Here is an 18,571-nt window from a genome sequence, read left to right on the forward strand (position 1 = left end):
GCTAGAATTCTACTGCTCACAAGATACTAGAGGGGACCCCTCCGAATACACACCCTGTGCTCCAACCTCCCTGCTCACGCTCAGCTGCACTACTTCTTTCCTGCCGCTGCACACTGTGGTTGTGTTTGTTCAGATTTGGGAGACAACATGTCCCTCCCAGAACCTCAGAAAATTCAGTAATTTACAAAAGGGACCAGAGATTTAGTGTCAGCATATGAAACTCTGCAGGGAGATCAGTAATTAAGGACTATTTGATGTTCCAACAAACCGGCCCAGCCTCACAAGCTTTCCCTCATGTAGAACTCTGACAGATTTTCATTTATTGGAATAATGCAAATAAGAAAATTAAAAAGTCAATTTGTTGTCACTGCCAGTATTTTACCAACCTTTATAAATGGTTAAGTCTGAGCTAGGAGAAACTATCTTTTGTGGCAGACATTTCACCCAGGACAAGCTGTGCTTAGGCTTAGATACTTGGTTTAGAAATGCCTGCTTATTAGGACAGTATCTTCTGCAAACTCCAGGCTTGGATCTTATCTCAGAGTGCATATGTTTCACCGGACTCTGCTAATCATCCCAACCCTTCCTTTCCTCAAGGAAAAATACTCTGTACTCCCAGATCTATTTGAGTATGAACCACCCTCAGAAGTATCAGGACACTGAAGCCCTGGAAAAGGAATGGGTAAGATGGGAAGTCCCAGAAACCAGGGAACTTGGCTGCAAGTGTTACCTTTATTTATTTCATATATGTATATTTCCAGAAGGACAACGGTTGACTGGTATTAAGACCAAACCAGTCCATCAGAATATCATCGACCAAAATGAGAATTTCCCTGTTGGGCCATTAGGGTTGGAGTCTTATTAACCCTCCCCTATTCCTCGGGCCCATAATGCATTATGAGATAGAGGAGAAGAAACCAGGCACAGAAGACTCTCCCTGTCATGCTTTAACCCCATACCCTGTGCTCCACTTATGGAGGACGTCTCCCCAGTTCTTGCCACTCCCACAATCAGAGAAGGTGAGGTTCATAATTATTCAGCCTCATCTCCAAGGAACCTTTAACTGGCAACAGAGATTGTTGGGCCATCATGAGATGCTACTTTCTAGCTCTATGAACATAAAATCACGTAAGAAAAAGCAAACAACACAAATACATGAAAGCCATTTACTCCTGGTGAATTCCTCAGGGTCCCAGGTTCAACACTTTCCGTGATGTCAGAGTACTCAGTCAGGGATGATGGGGACAGGGTGTCAGAACAGTCTTGATGGTCTTGCCAGCAACAGCTTTTTCTTATTTTCCATAATTTGGTCTTAGTCGTTCTCCAGTTGTCTTCATGTAAATAAAGTGGCCCATGGCAATCATGATTCTGTAATTGTTATAGTGCCTTTGTAAGTTGACAGTTTCCAAATCCCCTTACTCATACGACCCCTGTGAAGGGGGGTGTGAAGGGGTTGGTGGGCTTGTGCATATGAGGGAATGTGAACGATTTCATTATGACCGAATTATGCTTTACTCAATAAGCACTCAAACACTACCATCTCACTTGTAGTAGAAGTGCTAGGGATGCAACCAAGAGACTGGTTGAATAACGGGAAGGTTAAATGCATGAGTATTTTAATAGAAAAAAATATTAAAAACAAAACCAAAACTCGTATGGAAAGAGGCTTCTGACTAGGCCCTCCTTTCTAGCAGTGTTTGGCACCTGATAACAATTTGACGCTGGGGGAGGGAGCAGCTTGACAAGGTCCACATGAAGCAGCCTTGAGATTTTTCGCCCACTTCCATTTCTCCTCAGCATCAAAGGAAAGTGCATGGTAAGAAGTGAATCAGACAGCGAGGGATCTATGCAGTTATCCTGTGAATGTGTGGCAAAGCCATCAGGACGCAAACCTCCTGTCTTGAGTCCAGAGCTGTGTGCTTTAAGATTTGACCCCAGTAAAGACAGAATCCTTCAGGCTCGTCCCTTCCCAAACCTAAGGGGCTGTCCTTGGCCACTTTCAACTTGAAGCTGTTGAGCAGTCTTTAGGATATGTAACAGCCTATTTTTTGGACGATATAGGAACCACGACCTCTTAAGTCTCTTAGTTCTCCTACTTTATACCCATGAGGTAGAGGCAGGTGCACTCCAGTGAAGGAGAAGCCTCAATTCAGGTTGTACTTTGGATGAAACATCCCCTCAAGGCGTAGAGGAAGGCTGAGAGGTTCTGCCCAGGCTCGTGTTTAGTTGCAGGAAGAGGTAATGTCAGATCTGAGCAGGTCAGGGAGACTCCCTCGAAAAGGTCTTCCCAGGCTGACAAGAGGGCTTTTCCTCTTCCTCACCTCCCTTAGGTGAGGGCTGAAAGCAGATCTCCTCACATGGGGACCTAGCTAGGAGGTCTTTTCTGAGTGGGTCCTCTGATGCCTAATTAAGTGATATCCTCTGCTGAAGCTTTTTCCACAGGTAGGGCACGTGAATGGTTTCTCCCCAGTGTGTGTTCTCTGATGCCTGACGAGGTGGTCCCTGCGACTGAAGCTCTTCCCACATTCGTTGCATCGGCAGGGCCTCACTGAGGCGTGTCCTCTCAAGTGCTTGGCGAACGCTGCGCTGTGGGTGAAGCAGCGCCCGCACTCGCTGCAGAGGTAGAGTTCCTCAGCAGCGTGCGTCTTCCGGTGCGCCAGGTACCGCCTGTGTTCACTGAAGTCCTCACCACACTCTCCACACAAGTAGGGTTTGCCTCCCAGGTGGATTCTTTGGTGTGTTGTTAACACAGATTTCTGGCTGAAGCTTTTGCCACAAATAGTACAAAAGAAGGGTTTTTCTCCAGTATGTGTCCTCTGATGTCTGACAAGGTCTGAAGTCCAGCGGAAGTGCTTTCCGCAATCATCACATCTATAGGGTTTCTCCACTGATGGAGTTCTCTCAGCCTGTGTCACAGGGGAGGTCTCTTCCAAATTCTTCCGGTTTAGGGGATATTTGTAAGGCGCGTTCATCTTGTGAACCTTTTGGTGCCTGGCAAGATGTGAGCTTCGTGTGTAACTTTTTCCACATTCCATACATTTATAGGGTTTCTCTCCTGTGTGAGTCCTCAGGTGTCTAACAAGGTGGGAGTTACAAGTGAAGCTCTTTCCACACACAGAACAGTCATGATGCCTCCCTAACAGGGGGTGGACGGGTGTAGTTTCCCGAAGGTTCACAAAACTATTCACTTGAGAAATATTAGTACCAAATCTTCTTTCATTAAGTCTACCTGGATTGTCCTCAAAGACTATTTCCCAATCTGGAGTCTGGTGAATTTCTGGTTCTCCCAAAACAGGCCTGTGTATATCCTCCAAACTCAGATCTTCCTGCTCCAGACACTCTTCCTCATCTTTACTCCTATCTCCTGTAGAAAGGGTGAGAGGAAAAAGGGGGTCACTGTAGCGGCAACAATGCCTTCTACACAATGGGGAGATTTTTACAAAGGGTTTTGAGATGGCAAGACTAAATAGAATGCCTGTCCTGTGCCAAGCACTTTCTCATATTGTTATGCTATCAACAAACCTTGGTATGCACAAATATAATCTTCATTTTACAAATGCAGAGATTGAGAATCGAGGGTTTAAGGGAATTGTACAGTAAATGGTATAGCTGCAATTCCAAAAGTTAACATTTTTCTTTCACCCTTTTGTATTACATTGCTATCAGACAAATGATGGGAGGAGAAAAGAGGAGGGCAATGACAGAAGAAATGGCTGTCAGAGGGAGAAAGCAGTACTGGCTGACATGTTAGAAGAACTGATGAGAGCGGGGCCCTACAGAGAGAGAGAAGCACTGCCTAGAGGAACTGCTGGCTCAGGGTGGGTAACACCGTTTTTGTCATTCCTCACCTGTGTAGGTAAAACTCAGGATTTCTGGCTCTTGAGTCTCCTGAGGCTCTTGGATATCTGGGACCCAAGGCTCTTCCTCTCTAACCTGGGAGATCTCATCAGGTCTGGGGATTGGAAATGCTGCTCAAGAGAGGGAAAATAGGATATCACGATTGGCTCAACAATTCCCTGTGTTAAGAGCGGTCCTTTTCTATTTGGTAGGTTGTGGGGCAAATACATAGCTAGCTCAGGTGATGAAATCTTTCATCTCTTTAGTTTGTGTACTTTTAACCAAGGACTGCGTATCTCTTGCCTTTCTTGTGGTTTTCACCTGCAACTTAATAATTATACCATTGTACACCTTATCCTCTTTTCCCATATTCAAGAAAGATTATCTCCAACTCTTACTGTTTTAAAACTCATGTGCTTACTTCAAATATTTCTGCACTAAAGCTGTCATATTACAAGTTTGTTTTCCTATTAGAGGTTTCCATTTCCATCCATTTATCTTTTACTTGAAAGGACACCATATTTTTCACCTAATCCCTCAATTTTATTGGTGGGGAAGGCATAAGAGAAGTTCACTGCATACAATCTAAGGTCTAAGATCCCCCAAAATTTCCAGCAGGAAAAAGATCTCTGGGCTTAGAACACTCTAGAATACTTGAAATTCCTTACACAGAGAGACAACAATTCCACAGTCTTCTTCCAAGACATATTCTCCATAGAACTCTTTCTGTGTTGGGTCCAGATCACTCCACTGGTCCTGGGAAAAGCATACGGCCACATCCTTGAACGTTACCAGTCCCTGAAACCACATAAGGATTTCATCAAAACGTGATGCTACGGGTAGCCTCGTATTTTGTCCCTGTTGAAGGTCATACAATAGGTGGACTCCTCTAGGAGATGAAAGGAGCTTGAGTGGCGGGCTGCTTAAACTCATTCTCGGGGGAGCCATGTGTCCCCTGTGGCACTGGCCCTGCCCCCTCCAACTCCACCACTTTTCCTGAGGACCAGCTTATGTTCTTCTTCTTTAAGGTATTGTTTAAAATTTAGGAAAGGTCTTAAAAATCATCATTCAGCTCCCTACTTGACACTTTAACGCTATATACATTTCTGCAAAATTCATCTTTTCTAGTACACTTTCCCTAAAGACTCTAATCACTTTCAATAGTTTCTATACTCTATAGCCAAAACAAGACTTTTTTCCTCAGTTAGATTACAATCTAAAACCATACATGAATTCTATTTCTTTTTCTCCAGCCACATGGCTTAGTTTCAGAGCTTTGATCATGGTGAATACTTCCTAAATGTCTCAGCAGTACAGTCTGTCATACTTACAAATGACTATCAAATTTATTCCTTTAAAAAAAAAAAAAACTAAAAAACCCTCATTTGACAACTTCGCAGTTGTACTGGAGTGTTACAAAATAATCCCATTTTGTTAGTTCTTCTAGTCAATGGCAAATAAACTGGTGTTGGTGCCTGTGGATCCAATATAAGGTATGATAATTTATCTCATTATCTCCTCCCCTTCCAGGTACCTGCAGAACTGTGAGCTTAAAACTGGCAAGAGTGTAAATGTGCATCCTGCTTCACCTGTTTAGTATGGCTTATGCCCAGTGGTTCTTCAAACAAATTCTCTGTGGTACAGAGGTAACTAGGGCACACCTGTGACAGAGCAGTAAGAAGAGCAACCATCTCTGAGTCTCCAGAGCTCCTCTCTGCAGGAAGGTCTGGGTCCTCGGGCACTGGGACCTCTATGAAGAAAAGAAGGCAAAGATCAGTAATATGCAGCATGCCCCAATAATGGGCAAAAATCTGGGCATCCCCCACCATCTTTGGTAGGAAGGTGGCCCTATCCTTTCTATTATGGGAACCAAGAAACTGGCCTAAGGGTAGCTCCCATATCCCAATCCCATCACCTATGAGACTATCAGAATGCCAAGAGAACAAGCAACAATCTGCTGTCTAAGCTTGGCCCTGTTTATGGGGGACTCTAGCTGGCGGTACTGTCTCCTCTTGACATCCTGGATTCTGTGATGTCTTTCCATACAGTCTATCTACCCAGCTTCCTTGGTATAGGAGAAATGTCCGAGAAATGTCCCCCTCCTTGCCTGCCTTCTGCCACAATCCCCCCTTTCTGCTGATGCTTCCCACCGCTCTCCTGCAGGGTCTGGAGCTCCTCTTCCTGGTGTGGACGCTGCTCTGCCGGTGCCCCCAGATCTGGGCTCTGTGTGGTTTCCTCAGGAGACTGCTCGGGGGTCGAGCTTTGCACAGGATCCTGCAGCTCATTAGGTGACTCAGGCTCCACTCCTAAATGCACCGTCTCCTCTGACAGGACTTCCTGGCCGTGAACATGGACAGTCACCTGGGAATAATTCCAACTTCCAGTCACCATGGAGTCAGGAGGAAGTTCTTGGTTGTCACGGGAGCTTATTTTAGGAGAAGATGCCTAGAGAAAACACTCCCAGAGGGACCCAGACAAGGAGGGGAAACTCCAGTTTCAATGGAGCAGGCAAGGAGGAGCTGAAGGTTATCCTCCCCAGGACAAGGCAGGGGATGCGCAGGCCTGCACTGCTCTCTCACCACCCCCAGCCTGGGCCCCTGTCACCCAAGGTTCCTTCCCATCTCCACCTGTCCCACCTGCAGCTCTCCTTGCTGCCTGCTTCCCTAGCTGACCAGCCAGGAAGGGGGATCTGTGACTGGGGATCTATGAGAACCTTCGAGGAAGTCACAAAATTCTCCTCTCCAGGAACCCACGGCTCAACATTCAAAGAAGGGAAAACCAAAGCCATGACCCTTTGGTGGCTGAGACCCCTCAGATGGTCCCTATACAGGTGTTCCAATATCCAGAAAGTCACATTCATACACACACATCCCCCTAATCCATGGGGCTCATGGTATATGAGCAACCCAAGGGCAGAGCCCACTAATAATTTATGGGGATCCTGCAAGCTCTCCCCGCAAATCCAGCCTTCCAGCAAATAGTCCCCCTCCACATCACACAGATCAGGACTCCCCCTCCTCACCCACCGCCTTGGTCTCCTGGGTTGTTTCTGCAAACCCTCCACCAGCGTCACTGCCTCCTCGCCACTTTCTGGCCGTTGGCCCCGCACCCAGCTCTGTAGTTCTCCAGGTAGGACGGTAAGAAATTGTTCCAGCACAAGCAGCTCTAGGATCTGCTCCTTTGTCCGCCTCTCTGGTCTCAGCCACTGGTGACAAAGTTCTCGGAGTCTGATGAGAGCTTCTCTAGGGCTTGCTGCCTCCTGGTAGCGGAAGCGTCGGAAGTTCTGGTGGGAGGTTTCCAGCACCGGGTCATCCCTCTGTAAGACAGACTCTGGCCGACAGGTGAAATCATCTTCCAGTTTCACCATCAGAATTCCCTCTTCTTCCCAAAGATCCTGGTCCTCTGGTTCCACGGCTGTAGCCATTTCTTGGCTTTGGGGTGGTCTCACACCATCTAGAGCTCACACTGTCATTAGCCCCCCGCCTCAGCCTGGACACAGCGAGGATTTTCTTCCAAGGGCCCTGGATAGAGAAGTAAAGACAAACAAGAGTATAAGCATGAAACTATACACAAGGACAACAGCCTGAGTTCAATCATAATCCTCTACACAAACTTCTTCAAATGGTTAAATCCTCTTTTCCCCAACCACCATAGCCATAAATCAACAGATCCAGTTGGGAGAGGATAATTTACAACTAAAGGTATGGTCCTCTACTCCCTTTCCTAGGCAAGGTTCATACTCTGCAAGAAAATACTGCATTTCCACTTCACAAATACTGCCAATTCCCCCGCTTAAGTCTCCAAACCGGTTCCCTTCTCTTCCTTCCTACAGACTGCTTTAGTTTGAGCCTTCATCATCTCCTGCCTGGACTACTGCTCTAACTTCCTAAGATCCCTGCAGTACTCAACTATAAGCAAAGTACAACAGAATTACCTGTGGAGATTTTGCAAAACATAGTATCACACATCATTTTTCAGACACTCTGATTCAGTCAATTCAGGTAACTGTATGTTTAGAGATGCTACTTGCAGTTCGAATGTGTATCCATGGTTGAGAAACACCAACCATGAGGGAGATGTGTAAGGTTATGAGCGAAAGTTCTGGAGTCAAGCTGCCTGGGTTTGAATCCTGGCTCTGTCGCTTACTAGGTATTTCCAGAGTGGGACCATAGGCAAGTTCTCATTCTCCTAATGCCAGTTTCTCTGTCTATAGAAGGGAGATAATAATGGTTTTTATCTAATAGGCTTACTGTAAGGATTAAATGTATTACTAAAGCCTATGAGCATTAAATGTATTACTATCTTTGCTTAGAAGAGTGATGGCACCAGCTATTATCTTTCTAAATTATAGTTCCAACTATATTACTCAGTATTTTAAAACAAAACCTTTTTCATGTTAGTAAAATCAGTTCCAAAATCCTGGGAATGACACGAAGCTCTTTACAATCAGCCCCCAATCTATTTTTCAAGCTTCAGATCCTACCTTTTCCCTGTATCACCTGGTTATAAAAAATGCATTGCTGATCTCCCTACAACAGGGTGTCTTTTCAGTCTTCCATGTCTTTTTGAAGGTTGTTCCTTCTGCACAGGCTACTCTCCACCCTTCTCCTTTCCACGCTACATGGTGTGTTCTCTTTCTTTTTAACGGGTCTTGTCTTTATTCCCACAATTTACAGCTTAGGTCCCTCTCACTTCTCATCTGGATGACTGCAACTGCCTCCAAATGTGAGCTATCTGCCTCCAGATTTGTCACCTTCACGTACCCACTATGATCAGAACGAGCTCTCTTGGCAAACGTGCTCATGTCCCTTTCCTATCTAAGATCCTTCCATCACTCCCCGCTGTCTTGTTAAGTGAAATACAAACTTCAAACATTCTACATTAGGTTGACGTTCATCTTGTTATTCTCTTCGCCCTCCTCTCCAATCCTTTCAGACACACACGCACACACGTGTGTACATGCAAAGCACACAAGAGTCCCGTGTTCTTTAGCTTTTGAATATGCTGTTTCTTCTGATTCTTTATCCTTGGTTAGGTTAAACTTTAAATTTTTCAAGACATAAGCTCAAGCTTCATGTCTTCTGAGATGTTTTCTTTGATCCCATTTCCCCTACTCTCAGACATAGTTAGAAATCACCTAAGTCCTCCCGTAGTGACCTGGGCACCTCTCTATCCCAGTATTGGTCATATTACATAGCCATCGCTCATCTTTCCTGTGAAACTCTTTGAGGTCAGAGACTATTTTCCATCAATCTCCAATACCTATAATAAAGTGCACAATAAATGCATTTAAAATGAATAAAACTCTACTCCAAAGCTTCTTCCTATGGTAACAGGAAGAACCATTGTTTCCTCCATTATGCTTTTACTATCTCTTGATTATTCACCATATCCTGTTAATTCCAACTTCCAAAAAATGTCTTTCGAATCCATCCATCTCTTCATCTCTACTGCCATTTCCCGGTTGAGCCATTATGACCCACTAGAAGGTATTCATAGGAACTTTAAAAAAAATTACAATATCCTCTGCTCCTAAACGGCACTGGCACGTAACAGGCACGGATACATTGGAGAGATGACTTAGTTCAACCTCCATGACTGGTTTTCTTGGTCCTGTCCCCCTCCAGACCAGTGTCCACAAGCAGCTTAAGGGCTCCATCATTTCTCAACCTTTTTGTGCTATACTACAGTTGCCTCACATCCACATTCAAGGTTATCGATCCACTCTTAATAGCTGTGTCTCATCTATTGTTGCCCATCAAATGAGTTTACAGTCAATGATCACATTATCTTCATTCTTTCTCAAAACGCTTCTAATTCATGCTCTTATGACATTTTTTTCATTACCCTCAGTCACTTGCAACATACTTTCACAGTCTATCTTGGATAGCTCCCTAATTCCTAGATCTTCATGTGTAATTTTTCCTCTGCTATCTCTACCTCATGGTGATTTATTTTTTTCTCAAGTGGCTTGTAATTTTTTTATTTTATGTCCATCTTTTTACTTTGGGAGTCCTGAGAGCCCTGGATTTAAATGTGAGCCCCTTGAATGTAATTTCATTTGTTTCTTCCTAAGTGCTAATGGTTTCAATGATCTTGGACAGTTTGCTTTTTTAAGACTCTCCCTCTGTTGCCCAGGCTGGAGTGCAGTAGTACAATCATAGCTCACTACAGCCTGGATCTCCTGGCCTCAAGTGATTTTCCAACCTTGGCCTCCCAAAGCACTGTTACCAGAGGCTGAGCCACCATGCCTGGCCAAATCAGTTTTTATGTTAATTTCTCAGGGTGTTCCTGAATAATGCTTTTGTGTATTATTTAGATCGATGCCTTCAAGTAATGTTTGGCCTACCCAAGGTTCTGGAGAACCCACTTCCTTGCACTTTTCCTGGGTCAGTAGGACGATTTTCAAAGGTCCAGGTTTGCAGGCTGCTTAATTCTGTAACTTTCACACAGCGTCAGCTTCCCAAGTCCTATCTCCCTGTTGGAGTACCAGTATTAAAAGCTCAATCCCTAGAAACCTTATTTTGGTTTGGAATCTCACTGCGCCATGGTAAAGTCAGCTTATACTTATTTTTCTAGTGGTTATTTCTTTTTCCTTCTGGAACCTATGCGCTTTCCTTTAGCTTTTGAGAGAGAGAGACAGAGAGAGAGAGAGAGACAGACACACAGGGAGAGACAGACACACAGGGAGAGACAGCATGGGCTGTCCTGTTCCTGACAGGAACAGGATTTAATAATGGGCAGGAGGCCCATCCACATTAGCTCCACCTGCAATACTCCAAGTAGGTGAGTGGTGAACTTCCTAACATACAAAATCTGCCAATGGCTTCCCAGTGACCTTAGGTTAAAATTTAAACTTCTTAAAATGTGATACACAAAGACCTTCAAAAGCTGGTCCCTGCTACCTCTCCTTCCTTCCATGACTGCCACTCCCATTGAAAGCCACTGCAAGAATTACTGTTCTTTCTTTTCTATACCCTCCCTGGGCTTTCCTGATGCTGTTCACCTTGTCTGAAGTACCCTTCTCCACTCTTCATGTGGTTAACTCTATCCATCTTTCAGAGCTCAGTTTTTCCAAGATGCCTTCCCTGGTCCTCCCAGATGATGCTTCCACAGGAACTTGTATCTCCCCCTATCACAGCATGCACATGTGTCTATTTTTTGTGTCATCAAAACTGTTCATCTTCTGTTGAACTCACTGGACTGTAAAGCTCTGAGGGCAGGGATATGCTGTGCCCAGCTCGATGCCTGGCACACACCAGGCACTCACTTCACATTTGATGAATGCAGAGAATGCTTAGTAAGGTTTTAAAAGTCTGTTTCCAGAAGGATAGATACCATGTTATATTAACCCATATTCATCCATAAGTCTAGCAAACTGTGTGCTGGATAAAGGCATACATAGGGAAAAAAACATTTATTGTTTGGATTGTGAGTAAAACAGAATTCTCTTAGTGGTTCCCAAGATGATGGAACCACAACTCATCACAAGGAATCTTCAGGTTGCACCGGGAATAATCCAAATGCAAGTCACACAACACTTGGCATTTGAAAAAAAAAAAATCATTTTCCATTGAGGATTTAAATCAATTTTAATAAGCGCAAAATCAGACATCAAATAAATGGAACTACAATACTAATTATTTATCCAGACAAAGCTTTCCAAACCCCACCCCAACTCCTACCCCTGGAAGACAGAATTAATACATAGGGTCTTTTGGCTTAATAAAAGGACTTCTAGTATCTTAAAAGTTTGAGAACCGACGTCCAGTGAAGTAGACTTGGAATCCTCATTGTTTTCACGCAGCACTAGGTACAAGAGATTCCACAGTATGGATCCTACAACGTATGCATTGACAGAAGAGTTCCTGCTCTCTCAAAGGGCTTTGCTCTCCAAAGAAAAAAGAACATGTAACAGTGCCACACCAAACTTGCCATTTAAAAATGCCCTTCAGAAATCACAAGCTGAGATTTCTGGTGCTTGTTTTGCATTTACTTTGGCAGCCTAGGAAGATGAAGGAAAACAGATCAGCAATAGAAGGAATGAAGGAAGGAGTCTTTGTGGGGTAAGAGATGGGAAATGAATAGGAGGTACAGCAGTGCTGTGCACAGCACCAAACTGGGTATCCAAAGACATATGCCCCGGCCCCAGATCCCCAAGAAACTGGAGCTTCCCTGAGGGTTTCGTGAAGTAACGTACCCAAGAGCCCTTGTAAAGGATAAAGCCCTCTGCAGATAACCAGTCTCCTAACTCAGTGATTATCTGAGATATGAGAGCTTTATGAACTAAAATGTGTTGTGCAAATGTCAAGATTTAATATTAGAGGCAGAAAACAGATGTTGTGTTTTTATTCTATAATTAATGGGATGTGCTATGCCATAAGTATACCTTGCAATTTGTTGCCTTTGCTATTCTAATACCTTTCTTCAATGTCTGTCCTTGGAAGAGTTCCAGAGTAAGACAAAAACTATAGAGAGAATACAATAGAGAGAATATGAAACCAGGCCAGGATTAAGTAAGAGACTTGGTTCCAGAAGACACTAAAACAGTATCTGCAAAGATACAACCTAGTGTCTTGAGTGTTCCTAGGATGCATAGGATTGGAGAGGAGCTATCAAGGTAAGACCTCTGTACAATCCTCAGGCCAGCTGTCTCTGCCCCTTATCTGAAGGTGTCACGTGGCAGTGAAGACCCAAGCTCAATTCTCTTACAAGAACAGAAAACCACAGGCAATGAAACAATATCTAGTTCTCTACCTTAAAACGCTACTAGCTAGGGTGATCTTTCTGGACCCTAAATGACAAAGTCTGTAGTCATATACCATCAACCTAAAGGAGAGACAGTGATCTGCCTATGTACTGGCAAATAATCTTCAGAAGAAAATAGTGATTAGAACTGAAATTATTATATTTAGCAGATATTTATATCCCTTCCAGTCCCCATTCTTATTTTATACCTTAATGCAGGCCTATAGTTTGGTAATTTTAATACAACTACTTGCTGGGGCTAACCAGGGCCTGTCAACAGCTCCTCTCAGTGTTCTAGAATAGAAATTGGCTAATAAAAACTGTTAACCGCTCTTTTCCAATGCTGCTGCTGTTCTTTAAAACGAAAGATTAGCCCAGTACAATCCTTCTAATGGACATATTCTTTTATTCTTGATTGTCCTATATACAAGCGCTTACCTAAGCTTTCCACATAATGGTTAGTGGCCTTGGCACGCTGGGTTTGAATCCCTGACCTCGAATCCCTGACCTCGCTTATTAGCCTTGTAACACAATTTCCCTAAGCCTCAGTCTTATCCTCAAAAATGTGGCTAATACTACTTATCTCATGTGGTTGTTTTAAGGAGTAAATGAAATAACCTATAGAAACCCTTCAGTATAGAGTCTGGCATAGGGTAGGTGCTCAATATATTTTATTCATTTTCCTTCAAGCTATTTGAAATCGTTTTGGGAAGAAGGCAAGATTTAAATGATAAACAAGCAAACAGTTCTCTATTGCATCATAATTACAAAAAAACAGATGGCATAAGGAAAATCTTGGTCGGTCTATTGTTATATCAAAGAAACCATGCTAAACCAAAAAAAAAATCCTTGCTTTGGAGGCACTTATGAAGTAGGATTAAATGAAAGTGTTGGAATACAGATGAGAAGGAACCTTAGACACAGGTTCTCCCACCGAAGACCATATCAGCAATGCTTCTAATTACCAATATATCAAAGTCCTCTCCACTCCCTGTAACTGGCAGGAGACAATCTGAGGCAAACTCAGTGTACCAAGAAGTCCTGTGAAAACTTAACCTAGACAGCACAATGAATGAAAGGGAATGAATTCCCTGGCTTTTGGCCTTCTAACACGTGACCAGTATGCTTCAAAACATGTTTAAAACTGTTTCTGTAAAATATTTTTGCCACCTAAGTTTCCCCCCCGCCCCTTCATAAAAGTGATATTTGAGTAGTGAGGGGAGAAATGGCTCAAAATTTGTTACAAGAGGTTCCAAAGAAAGACAATAAGGTATAGAGAAAGGGAAGACAGGAAGAAAGAGAAAGAGGTCAAGTATGTAGTGGATAGTACAGGGAAGTCACAAGTATCTTCTGTCTGGAAATGCTGCAGATTTTGTGGTTAGCCTCAAGATATTAGGTGGGAATAAACATGTCATTGAGAGTAAATGTAAACACAAAAATGAAAAATAAAAATTGTAACAATTCACTTTATTCTAAACTGTTTTTGATGGTTATATATGGCAGGCCTAGGAGGCAATGTTAGACAGTAGATAGTTGCCTTCGGCGGAGGGTGACCTGTGTTCTGTCCACTGCTCTACATTGTAAAGAGGTGTCATCTTGGACAAGTCACGGCAGCTCATGTTGAGTCTTGGGATGATTCTTTATCTAAAGGTAGAGAACTGAACCAGCTTTTTGATGGTGATGAGGAGGGGTTTTGAGAGGAACAAGGATATACAGCATCTCTATTGAATATTTGGGCCATAATGTAACAGCCTAGGATGCTGAGATTTACTCAAGAGCTGAGGACGGCTAGGGGCCAAACACAGATTTTTAAGTTTTGAGATAGGGTTTACTCTGTTGCTAAGACTGGAGTGCAGTGGCAAGATCACAACTCACTGCAATCTCTGCCTCCCAGGTTCAGGCCATCCTCCCACCCCAGCCTCCTAAGTATCTGGGACTACAGCACATGCCACCATGCCCAGCTAATGTTTAAATTTTTTATAGAGAAGGGGTCTTGCCATGTTGCCCAGGCTGGTCTCAAATACCTGGGCTCAAGTGATCTGCCAGCTTTGGCCTCCCAAAGTGTTAGGATTACAGGTGTGAGCCACTGCACCCAGCCTCAAATACAGATTTTTAAGAGGCCAGATTTATACACCTGGCCATCATGGTCATGTTGGTTAACCTCCATCATGAAGCTAGGCTTTTTAACCTTCAGGAAAACTACCCCAGAGCAGTTAATGGCCTAAATAAAGGAGGTCAAGCTATATGTCTCAGTTTAAAACAGAACATGACAAATTAACCTGAAGCAGGAAAAGGAGGGGACATCAAACCTGACACCCATCCTGATAAGAGTAACTGCTCTCATTTGACAGCCAGAGTTAAACTAGATGTATGCAATCTCTACAACAAACATAGTCAATGCCAATCAGATAGTCAGAGGAACCATCATTTAATGGGAAATAACGCAATAACATATATAACAGAGCTGACCGGAGGTGTTGCTATAGATAATTCATAACAGCAGTAAATTCAAAAGTCATTTACTATGTTTTTAGCTTTGTCATTAACACAGCCTGTGTGGATACTCCCTGTTTCACGTCTAGATGACTTCCTCCTGGCTTTGCTCAAGGGTCCTTTAGCATTTGAGGAGATGATAAGGGATGGGATCCCCGCCTGTTGAACCAGAGGAATCTGAGGAGTACCAGGTTTCCACTGAAGACTAAATCATGATCCAGAGAAGGAATCTCAGAAGTCATTCTTGTCGTGGGCATGGCTTAACGTCTGTCTCCCCACTGTGGGCCCTGCCCTCGAGAGCAAGGGTCTCCTTATTCATTTTTATATTCCCAGTGCCTACCACTTTGTGGAGCCCTTAGTAGAAAAGGTATTCAATAAACGCACATTGAGTTTAAGCTTTCTATTTCTCCTCCCCCAACTAGTATATATTACAGAAGCACTGAAAATTCAGAAATCAGCCAGTGTCAGGGCTCCTGGGTAATAAACCATTCACAGGGATAGCTGTAGGAATTTGGCATAAGCATTTATTCCAATCTCTTGGGGGTAATCAAGTGGCATAATCATGCCCTGCTTTACTGTGTAGCATAAGGCCAGTAGAGAAAAACATCAAGAGGGGAGGAGGACAAGGGATGGAGTTCAATACACAAATATCTACTGAGCGTCAATTACGTGTCCCACACTATTCAAGGTGCTGGGCAAAGAAAGATAAAAAAAGCAGAAGCTCTGACCTTGAGGAACTTAACAGGTAGTTAAGAAATTGCAGAATTTTAGCAATACTAGGAATTCACAGCAAAAGCCCAGAATACAGGTGTAATATTTTGATCAAAACGTGAAGCCCCTATCAAGAGAATTAAGAAAATCAAGGGGAAGAACTTATCAATATTTCACCTCAAATTTGGCATATAGCATTCAGTTGTTTTAAGTACGCTTTCTTAATTTTGCGAACAAAATATTCAGACCTAAGTGATTATCTATAAAAGATCAGATTACTAGTTTCCAACACAGAAGTACTCAAACAAAGGTATTCTGAACCTCAACCTACTGCAATACATATATCACATTTGGCCAAAAGGTAGTTGTTCTCAAAGTGAAGAACCCAGATCTGCAGCATCAGTACCTGAGCCTTGTTAGAAGTACAAATTCTCAAGCCCCAGCACAGACCTATTACCAGAAACTCTAGGGGTGGGCCCCAGCAATATGCGTTTAACTAGCCCTTCAGGTGCTTATAGTAAGTTTGAGAACCACCACCTAGCAAATGAAGTAAATCTGAAGTTCATGCAGAAAGCCATTGCTGGCCAAACTAAAGGGTTTGCTGGTGAGAGAACAGCAAAAACAAGGGGTATAGAACTGTTTCACATTTTAAATCTGTGCCAAATTTACTGGGAAAAAAAAATGTAAACCTGTAACTTACCTCATCTGTACAATTTGCAATGGCTGAGTCCCTCACATTGTGGTAAACCTTGTTGTACCCTTGGAATGATTGTCTACTGCAATATAGTATATACACAGAGTACAAAAAGGGTATAGCTGGAGGAGAAAGGGTGAAAGATTATGAATCCCAGGCGTTTGGTCCTAGGAGGAAAAATTCCTGTCCTCTCTCCAACCCTGCCCACCCTCTTATGCTAGATAGTAACAGCAGAAAGTTATCCCAGACTGCTCCGCGTTCACACGCTTCCCACCAACAAACCTCCTCCCAAGGCTATCCCACAACCTTTCTGAAGTAGCTTCCTGGATCAAGCCCCACGGGGCAGCTTGGAAGAGAAGCTGGGAGGGATGAGGGGCTCCACTAGCATTCCTTGTGGCTTCTGAGTGTAGCTGCCCTGGGTGTCACCTGCAGAGCGTGGATAGAGAAAAAGCAACAGTTCTAAGCCCAGCCTCTAATTGAGAGCCTGGGATCTAGCGCTGCTCCCCAGGACCAAGGTTGTTCAAGAAAGGCTGGGTCTAAGAGTCTCCCTCTGGGGAGGTCAGTACAGATTCCAAGGCAGACAGGGTTATCAAAGCGCCTAGAAGATGAGAACATTCATTGTTCAGAAAAACAAAAATTAGACTGACACCTTTCTGAAGGAACACAGCCTATCCATGGCACAAAAACAAATTTTTAATCAAGACACTCAAGAAGTAGGTATACTCCTGCTAAAAGTAACGCAGGTGCTGAGAAGAGGTGCCAAAACTGGCTGTTAGGAGTGGGAGGAGAGGAAAGTTGCAAGTGGAGACAGCAGCTACTGGCTTGAGGGGACCTCAGGGTCTGTCACAGTGGCAGCTGAAAAGCCTCTGGCCAAATGGACGCCAAGGACTACTATCATCACAGGTGACAAGATCACGGGTGAGTGTATCTGGGTGTGTGCTGGGGGGCTGAGGGGGGCTTGGTGGTGTAAGGAGATGGGGCTAGCCGGGGCAAGGAGCCCGCGGAGATGATCTTAAGCAATCTGAGAGGAGGGGTAAGAAAAAGCTGCGGAAAATAAAGGGGCCTAGACCACTCCTCCCTCGGTTCCGGGGGGACAGTTGGCGCGGAAGCGTTAGGAGGTACGAGGTACGGACTAACTACATTTCTGCAGGCCCCAGGAGGGGGCGGAGGGCGGTGGCTGGAAAGGAAAGGAAGCCGGGAGCGCCATCCGTGTCCCCGGAGATACTGGCTCCGGCCACCAGGAAACACAGAGACCACAACGTCTCGGCACCCTCAGTACACCGCCGCCACCCCTTCCCCAGGACACGGCGATTTCCCCAGACTCTGGGGGGCGGGGTCTCCGGTCCCTCCCCCTCCTCCCCGCCCTGCCCGGCTCTGCCCGATCTGGTCCGGCCCGGTCCAGCCCGGCCCGGCCCAGCCCAGCCCACTCAGGACTCACGGCTCCGACAGCTCCGGCGGCTCCTCCCCTGCCCCGGCTTCTCTCCCACCCACTCCCGACCGAAACAGCGCCGCCGGATCCGAGCCGCGCGGGGCCTAGCGGGTCGGAACACGTGGGGCCTTTGCGCCCGGAACCGGAAGCGATCGCTCGCCCCGCCTTCTCGCCGAGTAGGAGCCTTTCTAGGCTGTGGGAGGTTTGATCCTCTCTATGCGCCCTCCGCGGGTTGCGGCTCAGTGCTCCCCAAGGACCCAGTGCGAAGAAGCCTCGGACCCCACAGCTGCCGTCCGCGACCCCTAACTCCACTCTGCAGCGAATAAATTAACATCTTGGGCCTTTCATTTACAGGCATACCTTCTGCAAGGGTTTTCTTTTTCTTTTCTTTTTTCTTTTCTGTTTTTGATCTTTTGTGTGTTTGTTTTCATTTGGATACCTCTACGTGTTTTTCTTGATTTTTTTTTCTTTGCATTGTCCGCTGCAACATGGTAGAAAAGGGCAGCGTTAGGTTTGAATACTGGCTCTTGCAGTCACCATCAGCAGCAGGGCCTCGGCCGAATCTCTCCATCTTTGAACCCTATTGTGCATCATATAAAACGGGCATAATAATACCGTTACTCTGAGGACTAAATGATACATTGCACATGAACTGAATG

General features: G+C 44.6%; 1 protein-coding gene across 13 annotated transcripts, besides 4 other annotated features; it reads right to left on the reverse strand.

The window, feature by feature from the left end:
- Positions 1 to 286: 286 nt before the first annotated feature.
- Positions 287 to 18,033, reverse strand: ZNF202 (zinc finger protein 202). Of its 13 annotated transcripts, none has more exons than XM_017018268.3 (10): positions 17,922 to 18,033; positions 16,790 to 16,909; positions 16,490 to 16,605; positions 15,807 to 15,916; positions 6,860 to 7,358; positions 5,988 to 6,198; positions 5,499 to 5,587; positions 4,506 to 4,635; positions 3,849 to 3,968; positions 287 to 3,364 (listed from the first exon to the last, which is right to left on the reverse strand). In XM_017018268.3, exons 5-10 carry the CDS (start codon positions 7,259 to 7,261, stop codon positions 2,370 to 2,372), a joined length of 1,947 nt encoding a protein of 648 aa, XP_016873757.1. In that variant the 5' UTR covers positions 7,262 to 7,358; positions 15,807 to 15,916; positions 16,490 to 16,605; positions 16,790 to 16,909; positions 17,922 to 18,033; the 3' UTR covers positions 287 to 2,369. The 13 variants fall into 13 exon arrangements, with proteins under 13 accessions (XP_016873757.1, XP_006718964.1, NP_003446.2 ...); XM_006718901.3 differs by having other exon boundaries at positions 16,766 to 16,909; NM_003455.4 differs by lacking the exon at positions 15,807 to 15,916 and having other exon boundaries at positions 16,490 to 16,565.
- Positions 4,977 to 6,176: an enhancer, noted in NCBI's record as "CDK7 strongly-dependent group 2 enhancer chr11:123599312-123600511 (GRCh37/hg19 assembly coordinates)". NCBI's record gives its function as "activates an origin of replication core promoter dependent on BRD2, BRD4, P300/CBP, MED14 and CDK7 cofactors, with strong dependence on CDK7, by STARR-seq in HCT116 cells {active_cell/tissue: HCT116}" and the evidence as "EXISTENCE:reporter gene assay evidence [ECO:0000049][PMID:35650434]".
- Positions 17,419 to 17,628: an enhancer, noted in NCBI's record as "active region_5687". NCBI's record gives its function as "activates an Ori minimal core promoter by ATAC-STARR-seq in GM12878 lymphoblastoid cells {active_cell/tissue: GM12878}" and the evidence as "EXISTENCE:reporter gene assay evidence [ECO:0000049][PMID:35858748]".
- Positions 17,809 to 17,938: a silencer, noted in NCBI's record as "silent region_4022". NCBI's record gives its function as "represses an Ori minimal core promoter by ATAC-STARR-seq in GM12878 lymphoblastoid cells {active_cell/tissue: GM12878}" and the evidence as "EXISTENCE:reporter gene assay evidence [ECO:0000049][PMID:35858748]".
- Positions 17,979 to 18,028: a silencer, noted in NCBI's record as "silent region_4023". NCBI's record gives its function as "represses an Ori minimal core promoter by ATAC-STARR-seq in GM12878 lymphoblastoid cells {active_cell/tissue: GM12878}" and the evidence as "EXISTENCE:reporter gene assay evidence [ECO:0000049][PMID:35858748]".

This window comes from Homo sapiens, chromosome 11 (genome assembly GCF_000001405.40).
Source record: "Homo sapiens chromosome 11, GRCh38.p14 Primary Assembly".
In the NCBI taxonomy this organism is placed as follows: Eukaryota; Metazoa; Chordata; class Mammalia; order Primates; family Hominidae; genus Homo; species Homo sapiens.